The sequence below is a fragment of the Homo sapiens genome, chromosome 1 (assembly GCF_000001405.40).
Source record: "Homo sapiens chromosome 1, GRCh38.p14 Primary Assembly".
Taxonomy (NCBI): domain Eukaryota; kingdom Metazoa; phylum Chordata; class Mammalia; order Primates; family Hominidae; genus Homo; species Homo sapiens.
The window spans coordinates 210757238-210779427 of NC_000001.11; the positions used below are offsets into that span (position 1 = coordinate 210757238).

The following is a 22190-nucleotide window of genomic DNA, read 5'->3' on the forward strand; positions in this document are numbered from 1 at the left end:
GCATCTGGGCCCTATGGAGCCACCATAGGACTTGACGAATGATGGCATTTGAATCAACCATCTCTGTGCCCTGTCCATAATAAGGGACATAGGAGTACACAGAAGGGACTGGGTTTCTCTTCTAGTCAGGTAAATTCCTACCCCTCTATCAAGATCCAGCTCAAGAGTTACTTCCTCAAAGAGTTTCCTAACTATTCCTATGGCCAGAAAAGGCCTTAGATTCATGGTTATCATATTCCCACTCTTCCTTTAAGGCTTCTTCCCAGCCCAGCTTTGGCCATATTCTAAGCCACTCCCTGACTCTTCAGGTTGTGCCCAGGTGCAAATCTCCAGTCAAGCTGGCCACTCAACTGAGAGCTGAAGGTCATTCTTCTGGCCTCTCATGATGAACAGAAGCAAACTACAGCTCTGAATATTCCTGTCACAGACCATCACCAGACTTTTATGCTACCTCAGTGGTACCATAGCAGAGCCACATGCCAAATAGCCACTTGTCAGGAGGATCATTCTGCTCCATTGTTTAATTATGCAAACTCATTTGCATCTCCTTCCTCTGTCTCTGAACAAACAGCAATCATGCAAATACCATCAGCTATCAAGCCCTGTGGGGGCTCCATAAAGCCTGGATACCCTTAGGCAGTGGCCAGAGGCCTGCTGCTCTAATGGAATTACTGAAGAGCTACACAGGGCATGCTGCAGTCTCCAAAACCAATCCTGGGCTGACAGCCTCCTCCAGCGGATACTGAGGACCCATCAGCTAGGGAAGCTCTACTAGGACAGAGAAATGAGGTCACTATTTGGAAGAGGTGCAGCACAAAAGCAAGAGCATGGTCTTGAGACTCAAGAAGACCACACTCCCCACAGCTTCTTGCCCATGCTCCTCACCTGAGAGGGGCCCTACCTGCTCTAGTCACAAGTCCACAGATGGTACCTTTTTGAGAGTTTAGAGACATTGTTTGGTGACCTGGAAGTGGAGGTCAAAGCAGGCATTTTAGTTTCAGCCCAGAGATTGGAGTGCTTGCTCTGGACAGGACAAAGGCCCCCAAAGGCAGAACTGAGTGGCAAGTGTGGAGAGTGCACCAGCAGTAGGTGCTGGAATTAGACTCTCTCTCATCGCAGGACAGGAAAGGAGAGTAGCTGAAGCCAAGGTTTCTCCCAGGCAGCAAGACTTGCAGCCAGAGACAGCTTTTTGACCTGGAACCAGTCTGTGTATGCCACTACTGGATGCCCCAGCCTGCTCCCTTGGTCAGCTGGGGGACAGTGGCCTACCAGCTGAGGAGCAAGAGAGAGGTGGAACCCCCTCCCCTGGAGATCTAACCTCAAGCACAGTCTACCCTTAAAGAAGGGAGAATCACAGCCCATCAAAGTCCCCACTGAGTCAAAGAAAATGTGAGTGTGGTGCCAGCTGCTAAAGGGAGCACCACCAAAGCCTGGAAATGGACCTGGAGAGGGGATAATATATCACCTTCCACCAACCTCCTCAGTGCACTATTGTGGACTCATCAGTGGCTCTTTCTGTTGGGGCTCAGGGAGCATGGGCTGAAAGAAACCACTTCTCAGACTTCTCCAGTGAATCCATCCCCAGTGAAGGCAAACGCACACTGGGAGGTGTTGCTTTTCATGCTTCTCCCTTGCCTCTGTCCCTGCCGCTAACTGCCGGCTCTTACTCTTAAGCCACTTACTGGACTGCAGCCTGAATTACATCACCAAACAAAAATTACGTTGCTACAATAAGCAATGTGTGAGAAGCCATAGCACAAAACTATGTGCAAACATGGAACTCATACAGAGCCTTGGTGCCCTGAAAGCTCCCAGAAATGAAGCAGTTGCTTATGCACAATATATACCACAGTCATACCCCAAGGGGAAAAAAGAATTAAAAAATCAAGAAGCCCTATCCAAACCTATCCAAATGATAGACACACACACACACACACACATATTTTATATATATATATAAAGAAGTGCTGGCTCTCTCAGGTGAGAGGGAACCAGTGCAAGAAGCACTGCAATAAAAAATCCAGAGTGTTATGTTACCTCCAAGAGACCCCACTAGCTCCCAAGCAATGGATCTGAGCCAGAATGAAATGTCTGGAATGACAAACATAGAATTCAGAATATGGATGGCAAACACCAATACCCAAAAACATCACAAGCAAGTTGAATTCCAATACAAAGAAGCCAGGAAAACAATCCAAGATTTGAAAAACAATATGGCTATATTAAGAAAAAATGAAAGCAAGACTCTGGAATTGAAAAATTCACGGCAGGAATTTCAAAATATAGTAGGAAGCCTTAACAACAGACTAGACCAAGCAGAAGAAAGTATTTCAGAACTCTAAGATAGGTCCTTTGAATTAACCCAAATTTGTTTGTTTGAATCAACAAAAATAAAGAAAAAAGAATTTTAAAAAATGAACTAAGCCTTCAAGAAATACGGGATGACATAATGTAACCAAATACATGACTTATTAGCATTCTCAAGAGAGAAGAGATAGTAAGCAACTTGGAAAATATATTTGAGGATATAATTCAGGAAAATTTCCCCAATCTTGCTAGAGAGGTCAACAGGCAGATATAAGAAATCTAGAGAATTCCTGTGAGATACTATACAACAGGGGCTCCCAACCCCTGGAGCCATGACTGGTACCAGTCCAAGGCCTGTTAAAAACGGGTCCATACAGCAGGAGATGAGCGGCAGGTGAGCAAGCACTGCCACCTGAGCTCCGCCTCCTATCAGATCAGCAGTGGCATTGGATTCTCATAGGAGTCTGAACCCTATTGTGAGCTGTGCACGCGAGGAATCTAGGTTGCACACTCCTTACGAGATGAAACAGTTTCATCCTGAAACCATCCCTGCCACCCCAGTTCATGGAAAAATTGTCTTCCATAAAACTGGTCCCTGGTACCAAAAAGGTTGAGGACTGCTGCTATACAAGACAACCATCTCCAAGGCACATAGTCATCAGACTATCCAAGGTCAATGTGAAAGAAAAAAAATCTTAAAGGCAGCTAGATAAAAAGGATCATATTACCTATAAAGGGTAATACTATAATATGACCCTTTCATAGTATTAGTGTGAAAACCATCAGACTAAGAACAGACTTCTCAGCAGAAACCTTGCCAGCCAGAAGAGATTGGGGACCATTTTTGGCATTCTTGAAAAGATAAGCCAGCCAAGAATTTCATTTCCTTCCAAAGAAAGCTTCATAAACAAAGGAGAAATAAAGTGTTTCCCAGACAAGCAATTGCTAAGGGAATTCATCACTACCAGACCAGTCCTACAAAAAATGCTTAAAGGAGTCCTAAACATGGAAACAAACGAATGTGTATTTGTCTGTTTTCATGCTTCTGATAAAGACATAACTGAGACTGGGCAATTTACAAAAGAAAAAGTTTTAATGGACTTACAGTTCCATATGGGGAGGCCTCACGATCATGGCAAAAGCCAAGGAGACACAAGTCGCATCTTACATGGATGGTAGCAGGCAAAGAGAGAGGGCTTGTGCAGGGAGATTCCTCTTTATAAAACCATCAGATCTCATGAGACTTATTCACTATCATGAGAACAGCAAGGGAAAGACCTGCCCCTATGATTCAATTATTGAATATGATTCAATTACCTCCCTCCAGGTCCCTCCCAAAACACATGGGAATTCACGATGAGATTTGGGTGAGAACACAGTCAAATCATATCAGAATGATACTTGCTACCACAAAAGTACATGTAAAGGCCGGGCGCGGTGGCTCACGCCTGTAATCCCAGCACTTTGGGAGGCCGAGGCGGGCGGATCACAAGGTCAGGAGATCGAGACCATCCCGGCTAAAATGGTGAAACCCCGTCTCTACTAAAAATACAAAAAATTAGCCGGGCGTAGTGGCGGGCGCCTGTAGTCCCAGCTACTTGGGAGGCTGAGGCAGGAGAATGGCGTGAACCCGGGAGGCGGAGCTTGCAGTGAGCCGAGATCCCGCCACTGCACTCCAGCCTGGGCGACAGAGCGAGACTCCGTCAAAAAAAAAAAAAAAAAAAAAAAAAAGTACATGTAAGCACATAGCCCATGGACCCTATAAAGCAATGACAGAATTGAGACTAGTCAACTAGTTGTTGGCAACTAGCCAACAACACTACAACAGGAACAAAATCTCACAAAGCAACATTAACCTTGAGTGTAAATGGTCTAAATGCTCCAATTAAAATACAGAGAGTGGCAAATTGGATTAAAAAAACAAGACTCATCCTTTTGCTATCTTCAAGAGACCCATCTCACATGTAATGACACCCACAGACTCAATGTAAAGAGATGGCAAAAGATCTACTGCACAAATGGAAAACATAAGACAGCAGGGGGTCGCTAGTCTTATATCACATAAAATAGGCTTCAAACCAACAAAAGTAAAAAAGGACAAAGAATAACATTACATAATGATAAAGGTGTTCAAATCAACAAGAACACTTAACTATCCCAAATATATATACAATTAAAATTGGAACATTCAGATTTATAAGACTATTATTTCTAGACCTGAGAAATGACTTTGATAGTCACGAAATAATAGTGGGGGACTTCAATATCCCACTGACAGCAATAGACAGGTAGTCAATGCAGAAAAATAACAAAGAAATTCTGGACTTAAATTTGGTACTCGACCAATCGGACTTAATAGACATCTACAGAATACTCTACCCAACAACCACACAGTATACATTCTTCTCATCTGCACATGGAACGTACTCTAAGACTGACCACGTGCTTGGTCATACAGCAAGTCTCAATAAATTCAAAAAAATCAAAATCATACAGTGGAATAAAAATAGAAATCAATTCCAAATGAACTCTTAAAACTACCCAAATACATGGAAACTAAACAACTTGCTCCTGAATGACTTTTAGGTAAAAAACAAAATTAAGGCAGAAATTAAAAAAAAATTCTTCGAAACAAATGAAAATAGAGACATGACATACTAAAATCTCTGGGATGCATCAAAAACAGTGTTAAGAGGAAAGTTTATAGTTCTAAATGCCTATATCAAGAAGATAGATAGATCTGAAATTAACAACCTAAGATCAGAGCTAAAGGAACTAGAAAACAAGAACAAGCTAAACCCAAAGCTAGCAGAAGAAAAGAAATAGCAAAAATCAGGGCAGAACTAAATGAAACTGAGACCAAAAACCATAGGGAGGATCAACAAAACAGAAGGTTGGTTCTTCGAAAAGGATAAACAAGTTCGATAGACCACTAGCTAGATGAACAAAGGAGAGAGAAGCTCCAAATAAGCACAACCAGAAATGACAAAGACAATATCACAACCAATCCCACAGAAATATAAAAGATCCTCAGAGACTATTATGAACATCTCTATGTAGACAAACTAGAAAATCTAGAAGAAATTGATAAATCTCTGGAAACACATAACCTCTCAGGATTGAATCAGGAAGAAAAAGAAATCCTGAAAAAAACAATAGTGAGTAATGGAATTGAACCAGTAATAAAAAACCTGCCAACCAACAAAAGCCCTGGACCAGATGGATTCACAGCCAAATTCGACCAGATATACAAAGAAAAGCTGGTTCCAATCCTACTGAAACTATTTTTAAAAATCAAGGAGGAGGGACTCCTCCTTAACTCATTCTACTAAATCAGCATCATCATGATACCAAAATCTGGCAAAGACACAACAAAAAAAGAAAACTACAGATCAATATCTCTGATGAACATAGATGCAAAAATCTTCAGCAAAATACTAGGAAACTAAATCCAGCAGCACATCAAAAAGTTAATTCACTGTGAGCAAGTGGGCTTTATTCCTGGGATGCAAGGATGGTTCAACATGTGCAAATCAAAAAATGTAATTCACCATATAAACAGAATGAAAAATAAAAACCATGTAATCATCTCAATAGATGCAGAAAAAGTAGTCAATACAATCCAACATCTCTTTATAATGAAAACCCTCAAAAAACTGGGAATTGAAGGAACACATCTCAAAATAATAAAAGCCATCTATGACAGATCCACAGCCAACATCATACTGAATGGACAAAAGGCAGAAACATTCGCCCTAAGAACTAGAACAAAACAAAGATGTTCACTCTCATCACTCCTATTCAACATAGTAATGGAAGTTCTAATCAGAGTAATCAGACAAGAGAAAGAAATAAAGGGCATCCAAACAGGAAAGGAAGAAGTCAAACCATCTCTTTGCTGATGATATTATTCTATATCTAAAAAACCCTAAAGACCAAAAGTCTCCTAAATTTGATGACTTCAGGAAAGTCTCAGGATACAAAATCAACATACAAAAATCAGTAGCATTTCTATACACCAATAATATGCAAACTGAGAGCCAAATCAAGAATGCAATTTCATTTGCAGTAGCCACACACACAAAAATAAAATACCTAGGAATACATCTAACCAAGCAAGTAAAAGACCTCTCCTGGAAGAACTATTAAGCACTATTTAAATAAATCATAGACAACACAAACAAACAGAAAAGCATTCCATACTTATGAATTGGAAGAATCAGCATCATTAAAATGTGCATACTTCCCAAAGCAATGTACAGATTCAACACTATTCCTATCAAGTTACCAATGTCATTTTTTTCACAGAATTAGAAAAAAACTATTCTAAAATTCATATGGAACCAAAAAACAGCGCAAATAACCAAGGCAATCCTACACAAAAAGAGTAAAGCTGGAGGCAATCACATTATCCAACTTCAAAGTACATTACGAGGTTACAGTAACAAAAACAGCATGGTACTGGTACAAAAACAGATGAATACACCAATGGAACAGAATAGAAAGTTTGAAATGAAGCCACACACCTAAAACTAACTGGTCTTTGACAAAGCCAACAAAAATAAACAATAGGGAAAGAATACCCTATTCAATAAATGATACGAGAAAATTGGCTAACTATATGCAGAAGAATGAAACTGGACCCCTACCTCTCACCATATACAGAAATTAACACAAGATGAATTAAAGACTTAAATGTAATACCTCAAACTATAAAAATCCTAGAAGAAAACCTAGAAAACACCCTCCTAGATATTGACCTAGGCAAATAATTTATGCTAAGTCCTCAAAAGCAAATGCAACAAAAATTAAAATTGACAATTGGGGTCTAATTAAATGAAAGAGCTTCTGCACAGCAAAAGAAACTATGAACAGAGTAAACAGACAATCTACTGGATGGGAGAAAATATTTACAAACCATGCATCTGATAAAGAACTAATATCCAGAATCTATGAGGAACTTAAATCAACAAGCAAAAACCAAATAACTTCATTAAAAAGTGGGCAAACGACATGAACAGATGCTTCTCAAAGGAAGACATCCTAATGGCCAAGAAACATGAAAAAATGTTCAACATCACTATCATCAAAGAAATGCAAACCAAAACCACAAAGAAATACCATCTCACACCAGTCAGTATGGTTATTGTTAAAAAGTCACAAAATAACAGATGGTAAGGTTGGGAAGAAAAGGGAATGCTTACATACTGTTGGTGGGAATGCCAATTAGTTTAGCCCCTGTGGAAAACAGCTTGGAGATTCTCAAATAGCTAAAAATAGAATTACCATTCGACCTAGAAATCCCATTACTGGTTATAAACCCAAAGGAAAATAAATTGTTCTACCAAAAAAGACACCTGCACTCATATGTTTATCACAGCACTATTCACAATAGCAAAGACATGGAATCAACCCAGGTGCCCATCAACAGTAGACTGGATAAACTATGGTACATATACACTATGGAATACTACAGAGCCATTAAAAAGAACAAAATCATGTCCTTTGCAGCAACATAAATGCAGCTGAAGGCCATTATCCTAAGTGAACTAATGCACAAACAGAAAACTATGTACCACATGTTCTCACTTACAAGTAGTAGCTCAACATTGAGTACACATGGACACAAAGATGGGAACAATAAACACTTGGGATTCCAAAACTGGGGGTGGGGGTACAGAAGGGTCCAAAACTGGGCAGGGGGTAATGGTGGCGGGTGGAAGGGTTGAAAAACTATCTACTACTGGGTAGTATGTTCACTACTTGGGTAGTGGGATCACTAGAAACCCAAACCTCAGCATCATGTAATATACCCATGTAACAAACCTGCACACATACCCCCAGAATCTAAAATTTAATAAAACAAACAACCACAAAAAGAGTATGGGCTTGGTGATTGCCAGGCTTGAGCTACAATTCTAACTCCAATTAGCTTAATGGATCAGAAGCAAATTATTTAACCTATCTTGGCCTCAGCACCTAAGTGAGATACATGTAAATGCGTTAACTCATACTTGGCAGATGAGACAATAAATTGGGATGGTTATTATATTTTATGCTGGCACCAGGGGTATCTGCAGAGGCTGAGAGACCTCTACAATCAGGGCCTGGGGGAGAGAAAAAGAAGGGAAAAGGGGCTATGAAATATATAGGAAAAGCTTCAGAGGGACAAAGAAGGAAAGATGTCTCTGCCGATACCATCTTTTAGCCAAGGCTTTAAGAATATACACCAATAGGCCAGGTGTGGTGGCTCATGCCTGTAATCCCAGGACTTTGGGAGGCCGAAGCAGGCAGATCACTTGAGGTCAGGAGTTTGAGACCAGCCTGGCCGAGATGGTGAAACCCTGTCTCCAATAAAAATACAAAAAATTAGCCGGGCGTGGTGGCAGGCACCTGTAATCCCAGCTAGTCGGGAGGCTGAGGCAGGAGAATTGCTTGAACCCGGGAGGTGGAGGTTGCAGGGAGCCGAGATCGCGCCACTGCACCCCAGCCTGGGCAACAGAGGGAGACTCTGTCTCAAAAAAGAAGAAGAAAAAAAGAATGTATAGCAGTAATAAGATGGAGGGACATGCCCAATATTGGTTGGTAGATTTGTATATTTTTGTTGGTTGGTTGGTTGTTTCACTGATTGACTCATTCAATTATTGAACATTTACTTTGTACCAAGCTCTAAAAAAGCTGATCAAGTCAGAGAAGTGTGGCCAGGTAGGGTAGTTCCCGCCTGTAATCCCAGCACTTTGGGAGGCTGAGGCAGGCGGATCACCTGAGGTCAGGAGTTTGAGACCGGCCTGGCCAACATGGAGAAACCCCGTCTCTACTAAAAATACAAAATTAGCTGGGCATAGTGGCACATGCCTGTAATTCCAGCTACTCAGAAGGCTGAGGTGGGAGAATAACTTGAAACCAGGAGGCAGAGGTTGCGGTAAGCCAAGATCATACCATTGCACTCCAGCCTGGGCAACAAGATTGAGGGGGGGTGGGGAGTTAACTGGAAGTATAATGAGAGCTACAAAGAGGTGATTGTTGCTAATTGGATTAAAAGACAAGGGGCTTCATCTAGACTAGAGAAATTAAAGAGAAGATATATGGAGTCAGGGTCCCATTATGAATTCAAAATTTCAATCTAGAAATCTAAGTTAAGCACAGGCAGGGTAAAGACCATTAAGTGACATTAGTAAAAAGTAAATTGCCAACAACAAAGTTTGCAGAGAGATAAACCAAAACCGCGTGGACCTCTGACATACATTATACCAGATATGGTCTGCACGGACATTTGGTCTGGAATAGATTCTTTATGTGAGCTCATATGCAGGCATTCAAAGTCCCCTTGGAAATAGGGGAGAACTAACATTTCTTTTTATTAATCTAACATCTTATAAAGTAGTTATTGTTATCAGAGGAGAGGCAGCCTGGGTTCAAATCCTGACTCTGCTTACCAAAAGCAAAGGCTAGAATGAAAACCTCCATGACTTACTGTCAAAATTTGTAAGGACATGCTCAAAACCACAGAGCACATTTTTAAGAGTAGAAGGAACAATAAATAGGAAAAAGGAAGTCCAAAAAACTTGGCAGATGGGTTCGAAATGTAAAATTTGGCTAGGCCAAAGAAAGAATGAGAAAGTAACTTGCAAGGAGGGACTTTGAAGCTAGTTAGAAAACATCCTTTGACAGCCTTCTAGTATTAGCACATGTGAAATGCACTTTGAAAACATGACTGGCTGCTCACTGGAAAATGAGTGGGCCACTGGGCATTTGTAAGAGGTGGGAGGGGAGCTGAGTTGAGGAAGATGTTTAGAAATTAGCGAGACCCTGCCAGTAATCTCTGTTTGGGATTTTACTGAGGACCAGGTGATAGTGATTCCCTGTGCTAGAGTATATTTTGGCTTCTTGATGTTTCAGAGGCAAGACCTGTTCGCTCCACAAGTCAGTGATCATTTGAGCTGGAAGAGATACTAAAGAGCATCTAGACCCTGCTTCCTAAATGTGCTCTGTAAAACACTAGCTCTAGTGGATTTTTACAGGTATTTCATAATAGATAATACTTACAGATATCATTCAAAATTTTAGGGAGCACATGAATGAGAAATCTTGGGTTAAACATCTAAGACATCAAGAAGCCAACTTGCTTGCTTGAGGATGAACTTCTGATCTAGGATCCATTAGCACTACCCTTATTATGCCTCAACTACATACACCTAAGAAAATATTATTAAGGATGCTACTCTCCTCCAAAAGACTGCACTAGCCTTATACTCTTCTAAGCTAGGCCAGATCTTTTCTAATTTGTGGTAAACACTGTATGTAACAGTACATCAAGTAACTTGATGACTATTAAAAGATAAGTTACAACTTTCCTCCTCCTTCCTCTCTTCCACATCTGACTCTACCATTCCCTCCATTCATTCTGTTATAGGAGGAATCAGATCCATTTTGAATCCAACAGAGCCATTCTTCACCAAACCTCACTGATGAACCACCTGGATCTCTAGGGCTACTTGAGGGGCCCAGGCTCAAATTTTAGAATTTTCTGTTTAGGAGATTTCTAGATGTTAAAATTCAGTCCATCACTTCTTTTTAAAAACTTTTAGCACCTGATGGGATCTAAGTCCCAGAAAAGCTAACTAATACATTTGATTGATTTTATTGTCATCATCCTTATCATTATCATCGTCTTCTTTATCATAATTATAGCCATATAAACATTGAAAATTTGCCATGTCAAAGCATGCTTCTAAGGCCTCTATTTCATACCTGAATAAAATAGGGCCTAGAGAGGTTAGGTAACTGGCCTGAAGTCACTAAGTAGGGCCAGGATTTGAACTCAAATACTCTGACTGCAGGATCCACATTTTAAACCACCAGTCTAGTACCTCCATATGATTATTCTACCAGCCAAACTATTATGGCTCCTATTCTTCTTTGCTCTGCTGCCCCCATTGCTATGAATAATGGAAGAGAAATAACACAGCTACATACTTACCACACGTGAGGCAACATGCCTGGCACTTTCTCACTCTTTCCCATCACTACCATTTGGGGTAGGCGATGTAGATCCACGGAAGACCACAAGGTATACTTGTTCAATGCCCACCCATCCTGACCCCCTGCCCCAGCTAGCAAATGGCAGAGCCTGGATGTGAAGATCTAGCTTTAAAGCCCGTGTTCATTCCAGAACTTTATTACTTCCTTAAAAATAGCCAGACATAGCCTGACTACAATTTAAGCTAATTCATACATAATGAAGCATGGAGCACTTTTATTATCTTCCACCTCCAGCATCATCATGGGGTTCTGCTAAATGTTCTCGGGGTACTGGGGAACACCTGAGGACCCATGAAAGACTGCACAGGTCCCTAACATCACTCACTGATCCTCTTGAGGAAAACAGAACTTGATTTTGATTTATAGTTTGTTGTTCTAAAAGAATTATGGTCATGTCACTCACATCATCTCTCCCCCTCCCCCGACTCCTAATTCCAACACCATGATTTTATTATCTTTTTGGCTTGACAGACTAATAGATGATTTTAATTTCACAGAAGCCCACATAGGAGGGATGACAAGGAAAATATGGGCTATGCAGATATCATTTTTAAAACTTAGGCTATGATGACTCAGGGGGGAAGTGGATGACATTTTTAAGTACCTAGCTTTATGGTTTATCTTTCCATCTTATCAACCTTCCACAATAATTTATTCAGGGAGAAAATTTAAAAGCTTTCCAATGCCACTTATGAGCAGAGCTTTCTCCAAGCATTCAATGCTTTCATCTTCTCTTCTCCAGAATAAAATGCTCTTTGGTTAAAGTGGGCTAGAAATGTACATATGGTATTCAAGACAGTTCACTATGGCAACCTCAGTTTTAGAAAACAGGCATTAGGAGGGCTCAGCTTTGAGAACATCAGTAACTATAGTCCCAGCTCCCTCCCAAACTCACTAAGTTGGGGCTTTAATCAAACAAAAAAAATTCATCCTGGAACAAATTAATATAAACAAACACTGCACAAAACAAACTCTATACACAACAATATTGGCTTTAAAAATAAAGCCCTACACACAGAATGAGAACCGCCCTCCCAATTACCTACGTGCCAATTATCCCATGCACTGACTGCTGTTAATTACCTAATTGCTTGTCTGCAGTACATCATTTAATTGTGGTACATTGCTTCTACTGTCCTAATGATCAGCAGGAGAACGTAATTCCCTAGGACCTGGGGAGTGAAACCTTATCTCAGGTTGAAAGGAAAGTAGAGCCCAAGTGAAACATCGACTAAAGAAATGTCTGGTTATTAACCAAGGGCAACAAAGTGTGAATTCAGAACCTCTAAGACTGGAGGTGGAAGTAGGGGATGGGCAGTGGGGAGGAGAAAGGGAAAAATATGTATTGAGTGGTTCCTGCAGGTAATGTGTCACTTTTTCTTTTTGTTTGTTTTACCGTATGTAAACTTCTCAATAAACCCAATTAGGGCAGCCATAAAAAAGAATGAGTTCATGTCCTTTGCAGAGACATGGATGAAGCTGGAAACCATCATCCTCAGCAAACTAACACAGGAACAGAAAACCAAACACCACATGTTCTCATTCATAAGTGGGAATTGAACAATGAGAACACATGGACACAGGGAGGGGGAACATCACACACTGGGGCCTGTTTGGGGTGTGGGGGGGTCAAGGGGAGAGAGAGCATTTGGACAAAAACCTAATGCACATGGGACTTAAAACCTAGATGATGGGTTGATAGGTGCAGCAAACCACAATGGCACATGTATACCTATGTAACAAACCTGTACGTTCTGCACATGTATCCCAGAACTTAAAATAAATAAACAAAATGCCAAAAACCTAATTAGGAAGGACTTGTATCAGCCCCTTTTCACAAACAAGGAAACTGAGGCTCTGAATGGTTAAGTAATTTGCCCAAAGGCACATAGCTGGTCAGCAGTCAAATCAGTATTCAAACATAGTCCTTAGACTCAAAGCATTGGCCTTTCTAGTGAGTTACTAATAGCATGGCCGGGTTAACCCGCTGCCTAACGAAAGCGAAATGTGTCATGCCTCCCACACCCATCACATCCAGCTACTTGCTGTGTGCCTGTCACTACGAGGGGGAAATTTGTCACATCTCCCAACCTGGGGTATTACTGTGGTTTTACCGTACATGTTTCTGAGTGTATTGGCGGTGGCAAAGGCCACTGGAGAAAGATACTTAGGAGACAACCCAAGCTACTCCTGAAAAGTTAACAGACTAGAAGAATGCAGAAGCCAAAGAATGCCAATATGGGAACAGCTGAGAGCCACACTTCACTGAGGCTACCACAGAATGTGACACTCCTTAGCCAGAAGAGCACGTGCCAGGTTTGGAATCTGCCACTTATTAACCGGGCAACCTTGGAAAAGGGGTTTTCTTCCTCACAGGGTCCTAGTTTATTCCATTGAGAAATGGGAATGATACAGTAATGTCATGAGGCTGTTCCGAAGATGTAATAAGCTGACATACACGTACTGATACTGTGACGTAGCTTGTACAATATCTGGAGTTGGTAATAATTTACTATTTATAGTCTGCAAAGCTCTGATTACAGACACAAGATGATTCTAGGCTTTGAGGAAAAAGCGCATAGACCTTGCACCCTAGAGAGCCAAGGGTTTGATGAGGAAGGCTCTACTTCCCCTTCTTTTCATGAATAGCCACAAGCCACCTCCCTCAGAAGAAACAATAGCGCTGTGCTTTTCTTTTGTGCCTCCCTCTAGACTTCCTGTTAACTGACCTAAGATCTCAAAATAGCCTGATTTTTCCCTCCAAGAATGGAACTGGCCAAAACAGTGGGCAAATGCTGACCTCTTCACTGTCAGGAGCTGAAGAGGCAGCAAGGCCAGCAATGGATTCCACTTCCCAGAGCGACTGATCCCTCCTTTGCTGCAAGAGGTGCAGAGAACCTGCGGATAACACCTACCCCACAGAACATTGCGCAGGGCAATAACCCTGCATGAACAAAGGCAGAGGAACTGCCTTCTTTTTACTTTACAAAAGGCACAGGATAATAAAGAATAGGGTATCAATCACGTGGACAGAACAAAATAACAATAACATACAAATGAATTGAGCACTCGCTATGTAGTAGTAGGCTTCATGTGAGCTTTGCAAATATTATCTTATTTAATGCTTGCAACTATCCTACAAGTTAGAAATTTTCATCATCCGCATTTTACAGAAAAGGAAGCTTTTATAGCTCCTCCAGAATTATAGAAGCAATAAGTGGCAGAAGCAGGACCCAGACCAAAGTCTCACCTGGCTCAGACCTCACAAGCAAGAAAAACTAAAGGCCAAAATGCTGGATTTGCCTCCAGGTTCTGCCTCTTTCATCCTTGTCTGTGCCCTCATGTGGCTTTGGAGGAAATGGAGGAAGGCAACAGTTTCTTCCTGAGTTGGGTTCCAAGAGCAGAGCTGAGAGCTAGGTGATGTTCATACCCTTGGATTTAGGGAAAAAGGGATGTGGCTTAGAATACAGAGGCTAGAGTAGAACAGGAAACTGTGATCAGGAAGACTTTGGCCAAGGTGTCACTTCTGGCTCCAATTCTTTCATCCCAACCCAGCTCTGTGACCTTTCTATAAAATGTGAAATGAGGGTGTTAGGGAAGTAGAGAAGAGATTGAACGGTTACCAAGTCATCTTCTAGCTCAGAGTCTTTGCTGCACATTGGAGAAGATCAACAAGATCAAGAAACTCCCCAGATAGATGTCAAAGGCACTGTGTTGTCAAGAATCTTAGCAAATAAAACACTTAATTTTGCCAAGATAGAAACAGCTACAACAATACACTTTACTTTACCAGGAAAAAAAAATAGCTAGGAGAATAATTCATGCATGTAATGTTCTTGTCTTCCATGCCCTACGTAACTACGAATTAATTCTCAGAAGGACACAATGAGAGACTACAATGGCAATAATAAAATGACAAGCCTCTTTTTTTTTTTTTCCAAAAAAGAATGGCTACCTCTTTACACAAAGGCTTTCACTAAACTTCCTCTGGATCCATACCAGACTCATATATAGTCACTTAGAGTTAGAAGAAAATTTGAAGGTCAGCTAGTTTGACTCTCCAACAGTCGCCTAAGTCCCTTCCACAATGTTTCTGAATATGGGTACCTAGGAGATGCCTAAGTACCCTCATAATAACAAATTTGATACACTCAAAGCAGCCTATTTCATTCTTTGGGGAGCTCTGATTTTTTTCAAAAGACTTTTTATACTGTGCCAAAATCTGTCTATAATTTTGGTTCTTCCTCTGTACCCTGTGGCTATAAAAAATCCTCCACAACAGCCCTTCAAAAATGTAGCCCCTGCGTCTTCTCTTCTGCAGAGCTATCACTCTACTTACAGAAAAAATCTGACCACTGAGGTGTCATTGTTTTTGTTGTCATTCTTGTTTTTTTTTAAAGACAGATTTACTTGAGCCACAATTATTCCAAGAAGATTACTCCTCCAAATAACCCAAACTGCATATTTTTTCAACCTATATTATCAGCAACACTGAAAGCTGATTATAATCAACTTGCTTTCATAGAAAGAAGGAATACATCAAAAAATAGCTTATAAGAGAATCCACTTGGCTAAATGTATCACCAGCAAGCATCCCATGTTCCCAACCAACAGATCAACCAGGAAGAACATTGGATGCACATTTCTCCACCACTGCCCACCCTCCACTAGAATTTAAATGGCCAGGTTTCAAACCACAGAACTATAAAAACCATCTTGCCACAATCTTGCATTTTATTATGTGGAAGTTGAGGCCCAGAGTTGAGGCCCATCTCTTTCTCCTTGCCATCCTCAAATATTTATTAATTCTAGGCACCCCACACTTGTTTATGCACTGAGGATACTAAGGCACCAAGCCCTTGCCTTCTCAGGTCTCTGTGCAGGGACCCACAAGATAGTCCAAGGGATTTAAAACAGGTGGAGGAATATTGCTGGGGTAGCCCCGTGACAGGCATTGGAACCTTGTACAAAGGACTTAGAAGACAAAGGGTTGTTTCCTTTCTCCAGGCTTTGCTCAAACTGCCCCTCCCAGTAGATCATTGGCCCCTTCTGTTAGGCAAACTCATTCTTTGGATTCAGCTAGGTATCACCCCTGACAATTAATCCTTGACTCCCTTTAGCTGTCCCCCTCCTTTATGCTCCCATAATACCTTGTTCAAATCACAATCACTGTACTTAGCACTTCTACGCATTTATCTTTCTTGTGTTAATCTTTTCCATTAGACTTTAGGTTCCCAGAGATAGGGAACTGAGTATCATTGGGTTTTATATGTCTAGTCTAGTTCAGTTGGCACAATACTGGGTTTGATGAATGAAAAAGTAAACATTTCAGCAGTTTTTAGGGCTAACAGGGGTTTGTCACACACAGAAAAGAATTCCAGGTTGAGAAAGCAGCAGGCAGAGACACGGCACTCTGAAGGGATGTGGTGTGCTTGGAGTACTGTGTGGAATTCTCATGGTGGCAGTTCAGGGTGGGAAAGGTGGGCATGGGGATAAGTGGTTGAGTTCGGGGCTCAGGGGTTAAGTTTGGGCCAGATGTGGACAATCACATACACCATGCTGAAATGTGCAGATATTATCCCTTAGTCAGGTGGGAGACTGACAGATCAGATTTTTAAGGTTAGTCAAGCAGCCATAAGAAGGAAGCACTCCACTGAGGGCAGACACGAGGCAGGAAGGTGAGTTTGGAGCCCATTGCATGATCCAGCTAGGGCATGAGGAAGGTTTTTAATGAAGAGCTTTGTGTCCTGAGAATTCTGTGGGGGCCTTGAGGATGAAGGCAAAGTACTGACTTAGAGTTGAGCGCTTAGGCAGAACCAACAGGATCTGTTGAGTAACACAAGGCCTCAGAGAGGGGGAAGCAGCATCAACGTTGATGCCAGGGTTTCTAACTTGGAACCCCAGGACAAATCAGACAATGTAAATAGGAACCGTGAGACAGTGAGCAGGTTGGGAGAAAGATTATGAGGTCATTTTAGGAAAGATTCCTATGACAACCTTTCCATATGATTTCTCCAGGTGCAGAGCTATCTTGTTATTGTTTTAACCAAAAGAGTCAGAGAGATGAAGTGCAAGAAAATCCGTCATGAAAACCTCAAGAGTACAAGACCAATACTTTAATCCTCACAGAGATAGATGGAGGAGTTCTGATGATTTGAGAGTGAAAGAAACAATTTCAGGTCAAAGATCTTCTGGTTCTTAAACCACCAATCATTTCTCAACCAGTTTAGTTGGGAGTTGAATGCAAAATATTCTCTAGACAAACAAATTCCATGTCTCTCTTATTCTCTGGACCCAACTAAATCATTTTCATATCTGTTAAAAAATTACCATTACTAGCTGGCAGGCTAATGGCTTCATACTACTCAGCAAATCCCAGTCACCACAGAGAATTCAGTTTACATTAATTAAATGGCCCCACAGAGCCATGTTGCTGACTAGCAACCTCACATTTCACTCATCTTTTCAAAATGCTAGCAGGTCTAGATATTGATGGGGGAAAAAAAAGCCACCTCCCTGCCCCCTCCAAGCACATAAATAAATCCCTTCTGCACCAAAACGGATCCATCTTCTAATCTAGCAACATCCCCTCTCTCCTCCATTTTATAGCAAAAGCCCCGCAGAGCAAACAACAAACAGATCCTCTTTAGAACCAATTACTCTACTTAAATAAACAGCAAAGGGACTTTTCTGGTCACAGTGATTATCCAAAGTGTACAGAGACTGTTCTTTGTGGAAAATAACTGAAACTTTTAGCTCACCCTCTTCCTCAAGTTGTACGTCAGAATCAGGTTCCGGGAGAAGGAATGGGAGAAGGCCGTGTAGAATTCCAGCACTTTCTGCAGGGCATCCCGCTTGATCACATGCAGATCACAGTAGGTCAAGGCCCTAACATTGGCACAGGACTGGGCAAGGGTGGCTTCCTTCCAGAACACATCTCCAAACACGTCTCCTTTTCCTAAGGAGAGAAGGTTGTCATGAGGAAAGTGTTGGCCAGGAGAGGTCTGCCCATCCAGCTGGCTTCCCTCTATTCCCCAGAATTGCTGTCCTTTCAGCATTCTGCAGATTGGGCTCAGAGAAGGCAAACACTATTTTAACGTGAACCTTAATAACATCCTTAACAACATGCAGTTTAAGAAATGTTAAAGTAGCAGTTAACACATGCCAAAGTTTAATCACTTTGAGATCATTTATGTCACCTCCTCAAAGGGTTATCTTGATCATGCTATCCAAAATAGGACACACACACCCATTATTCTTTATCACACCCCCTTTTTCCCCTATAACACTGATAATAATCCTTCATTATATTACTTATTTACTGGTTTATTGCATGTATCTCAACTTGATAGCTCATGTGTCTTATTCATCCACATAACACAGTGCCTGCACATGGTGGGAGCTCAACCAATATTTATAGGCAGAAGGAAAGAATGGAGGTAGACTGTGGTGGGTCTATATTAGCGTGACTGAGAGGTGAATATTTAAGGGAGCACGTGGACTCTTCATCAGAAATCTAATGAGCAAGAGAGGTTTCCTTTCTCTGGGATGATCCACATGGAAGAAGTCAGACAAGTGCAGAGTTCTCTCCTTACCATAGCATGTCCACCACCCTAAGGTTTATGTTTGTATGGTGCCTCTTTCTCATCCTCTCTCCCATACCTCCTTCCAGAGTATGTTCCTTACCCTTGCTAAATGTCCTCCTGGTGGTATAAAAATATAGGCTCTATATAAATGGCATCTCCAGGATCCTCTCTATCCCTAGCATTCCACAAGAATACATTTAATAAGTCAATAGAATAATGCTATGGACTGAATGTTTGTGCCCCTCCCCCATAATTCATATATTAAAATCCTAACCCTTAGTGCAATGATGTCAGGAAGTGAAGCCTTTGGGAGGTAATTAAGTCATGGGGGTGGAGCCTCTCATAAATGGGATTAATGTCCTTATAAAAGGGACTCCTAAGAGCTCTCCTGTGCTCTTTCTATCACGTGAGGATACAATGAGAAGTAGGCAGTCTGCAAACCAGAAGGGGGCCCTCACCAGAACCTGACAATGCTGTCCCCTGGTCTCAGACTTCCAGCTTCCAGAACTGAGAGAAATAAATTTCTGTTGTTTATAAGTTACCCAGACTATGGTATTTTGTTATAGAAGCCCAAATTAAGAAAAGTACTAATCCCATATAGCCATATTCTGGGTCAAAGCTTTATCAAATCGTCTCTAACCATCTGCTTTTCACACCTAGGGATATTCTTCCTACCTTTGCCAGCAAGCAACATTTTAACATATGTCAAATGCAAAGCCTAATTCATTTCTGGCATAGCCTCTGGTTATAAATAGCTTAAAATGTTGTTTATCTTGCCTCTAAATTTTCAGCACGATAAACACAAATTTGAATCCCCAGGGAGCCAACGAGGAGTATGCAAGAGGAAGGAAAAAATGCTACAAAGGGTGAAAAGTAATGTATTCAAGGGAGTTGTCAGCCTGTACATCCAGATAGGCCAAGCTCCACAGCTGAAATCAAAGGACCTGTAGCTCAGTGTGTTTAATAGGCCAGCTGTTTTCCTGATTAAAGCTAAGGAGGTAATTATACTTCCAAGTACATGGATAGAACTTGACTTTACCTCAAACATCAAAAAGTATCCATTCTAAGTATGTAAGATATCTGTGGGCACAGCCTTCCCTAAGAACCTCCAGAATGTGAGCTGAAAAACATTTATACTAGACATTACTTCACAATTCTCTATGTGTTTGTGGTTCTAATTTACAAAGATGGTTTTACTGAGTCAATGTGAATAGGATACATGCTTGGGGTAGCTTCCAGGCAAATATGTCTTTAAAACTGTGCTACTTAGATTCCCTTACCAAGTTCTTTTTTCAATCATCTGTAACATGGGTGGCTAATTTAGGGCTGGGGTCAGTAGAGGGAAATGTTTCTCTCTGTAGGATGCTAACTGGCTTCCATGGAAATAGGCTCATTTATTGTGTACTCCCTAGTACTCAGTTCTAACCAACAAGGCTGGCCAATTCATTTGTAAATATTATATGTATTAAGCATTCTATAACCTCCCTATACTGCCCACAATGGCTCATGCACCCTTCATATTTGTGTCATCTTGTTCCTCTAGAGAATATCCTTCCTCCAGCACATTATGGTAGGTAGTTAAAAAATAGGCCCCATCCATTCTTTTCCATACGGTACACACATGCTGCAACTCACATCAAGAGGTGAAGTCTAATTCCCTCCCCTTGAATCTGGGCTGGCCTTAGTCACTGACTGGCCTCAACCAATAGAAAGTGGAAGAAGCGATGTTCTGGGATTTTGAGTCAAGGTCATAAGAAGCCTTGCAGGCTCTGCCTGGATCACTTAGAACACTCATTCTTGGGACTCTCCCTCTTGGAACCCAATCAACAAGTGAGAAGCACAAGCCACACAAGGGGTCACATGTATATGCTGTGGCCCACAGCCCAGCTGAGCTCTCAGCTGACAGTCTCGACTGCCAGTCATGTCAAGAAGCCATCTTAGTTGTCCTGCTCAGTCCAGCCTTCAGATGACTATAGCCCCAGTCAATGCCTGACTGCAACCACATGTGGGAAGTGCAAGTGAGAACCAACCAGCTGAGCTAAACAGCCCACAGAATGGAAGAAACAATAAGAAGTTTCTTAAGCCACTAAATTTAGGGGCGGTTTGCTACACAGCAATAGATAGCCAGAATACACAGAATCATGGAGCTTGAGACCAGCCTGGGCAACAAAGTGAGACCTTGCCTCTGCAAAAAATAAAAAATAGCTGGGCATGGTGGCATGCACCTGTAGTTCCAACTACTCAGAAGGCTGAGATGGGAGGATTGCTTGAACCCAGGAATCCAGGAGTTTGAGACTGCAGTGAGCTATAATTTGGCCACCGCACTCCAGCCTGGGCTACAGAGCAAGACTCTGTCTCAAAAAAAAAAAAAAAAAATTACCTGCCAGGTTACGTAATATTCCAGCAGAACATCACAAATCATCCCAACTCTGAGCTGGCATCCCCCACTTCCTTCCCTGAAAGAATGATACAAGAGAGAGCAAGGGGTGGCTCTAAGAGGGGCAGATTTTCCTCTGGAAGTGTCTTGAGTATCTGTGAGAAAATGTAGAATGTATAAAACCTGCAGTCTCCTATTGGGATGAAATGTGGTATAAGCCAGAACTATTGAGAGTAGAAGCTAGTTGATAATCTTGCCTGATTTGTATTAAGATTACTTCATCTAAACAAGACCCAATATATGAGTGTTATACTTTTCAAATGAATTTGGGAGTCGTTTTTCTAATTATAAAAGAAACTATTAGGTAAAATAGTAGCACTGCATGGGCATGTAATTACCCATATATCTATAAAAATTCAGTTTATAAGCAACTCTTCAGGGGCATATCTATTGCATAAAACAAGGGGCAACCATATTGTGGTCGGAATACACCATGAAATAAATAAGTGCATCTGTAGAAATGACAACATTCCCATTATGAAACATTTTCCAATCACAGGTTTTGACAGAAAAAATAAATGGAGGGTAGATCCTACTACAAAAAGTATTTCACAGTAAGATAATCATGATTAATCTGTAGGGTCTAAGAGTCTCAGTATTGTCATAACTTGAGTTGATTTTCAACCCAAATTGAAAATCATATAACTTTACTTCCTGTCAAGGCAGTAGTTTTGGTATAAATTATCTGTTAGTGAGATTTAAGAACGTAATATCAGAGGACCTGTCAGATCCAAAACAAACTCAGGACTATTCTGGCAAATGCGAAATGTTTTTATGACACACATAACTTGGGAGAACTGTCAAGGGGAAGGAGATAG

The 22190-nt window shown here is 41.2% G+C and overlaps 1 protein-coding gene across 5 annotated transcripts in view; it reads right to left on the minus strand.

Annotated features, from left to right (window-relative positions):
• The window catches only part of KCNH1 (potassium voltage-gated channel subfamily H member 1), a 455835-nt gene that overhangs the window by 78924 nt on the left and 354721 nt on the right, over nt 1-22190 (minus strand). For all 5 annotated transcript variants that reach the window (XM_047419823.1, NM_002238.4, NM_172362.3 and 2 more), the window contains one exon: nt 18111-18307. In XM_047419823.1, coding sequence (XP_047275779.1) covers nt 18111-18307 — 197 coding nt within the window. The remainder of the gene's footprint in view (nt 1-18110; nt 18308-22190) is intronic.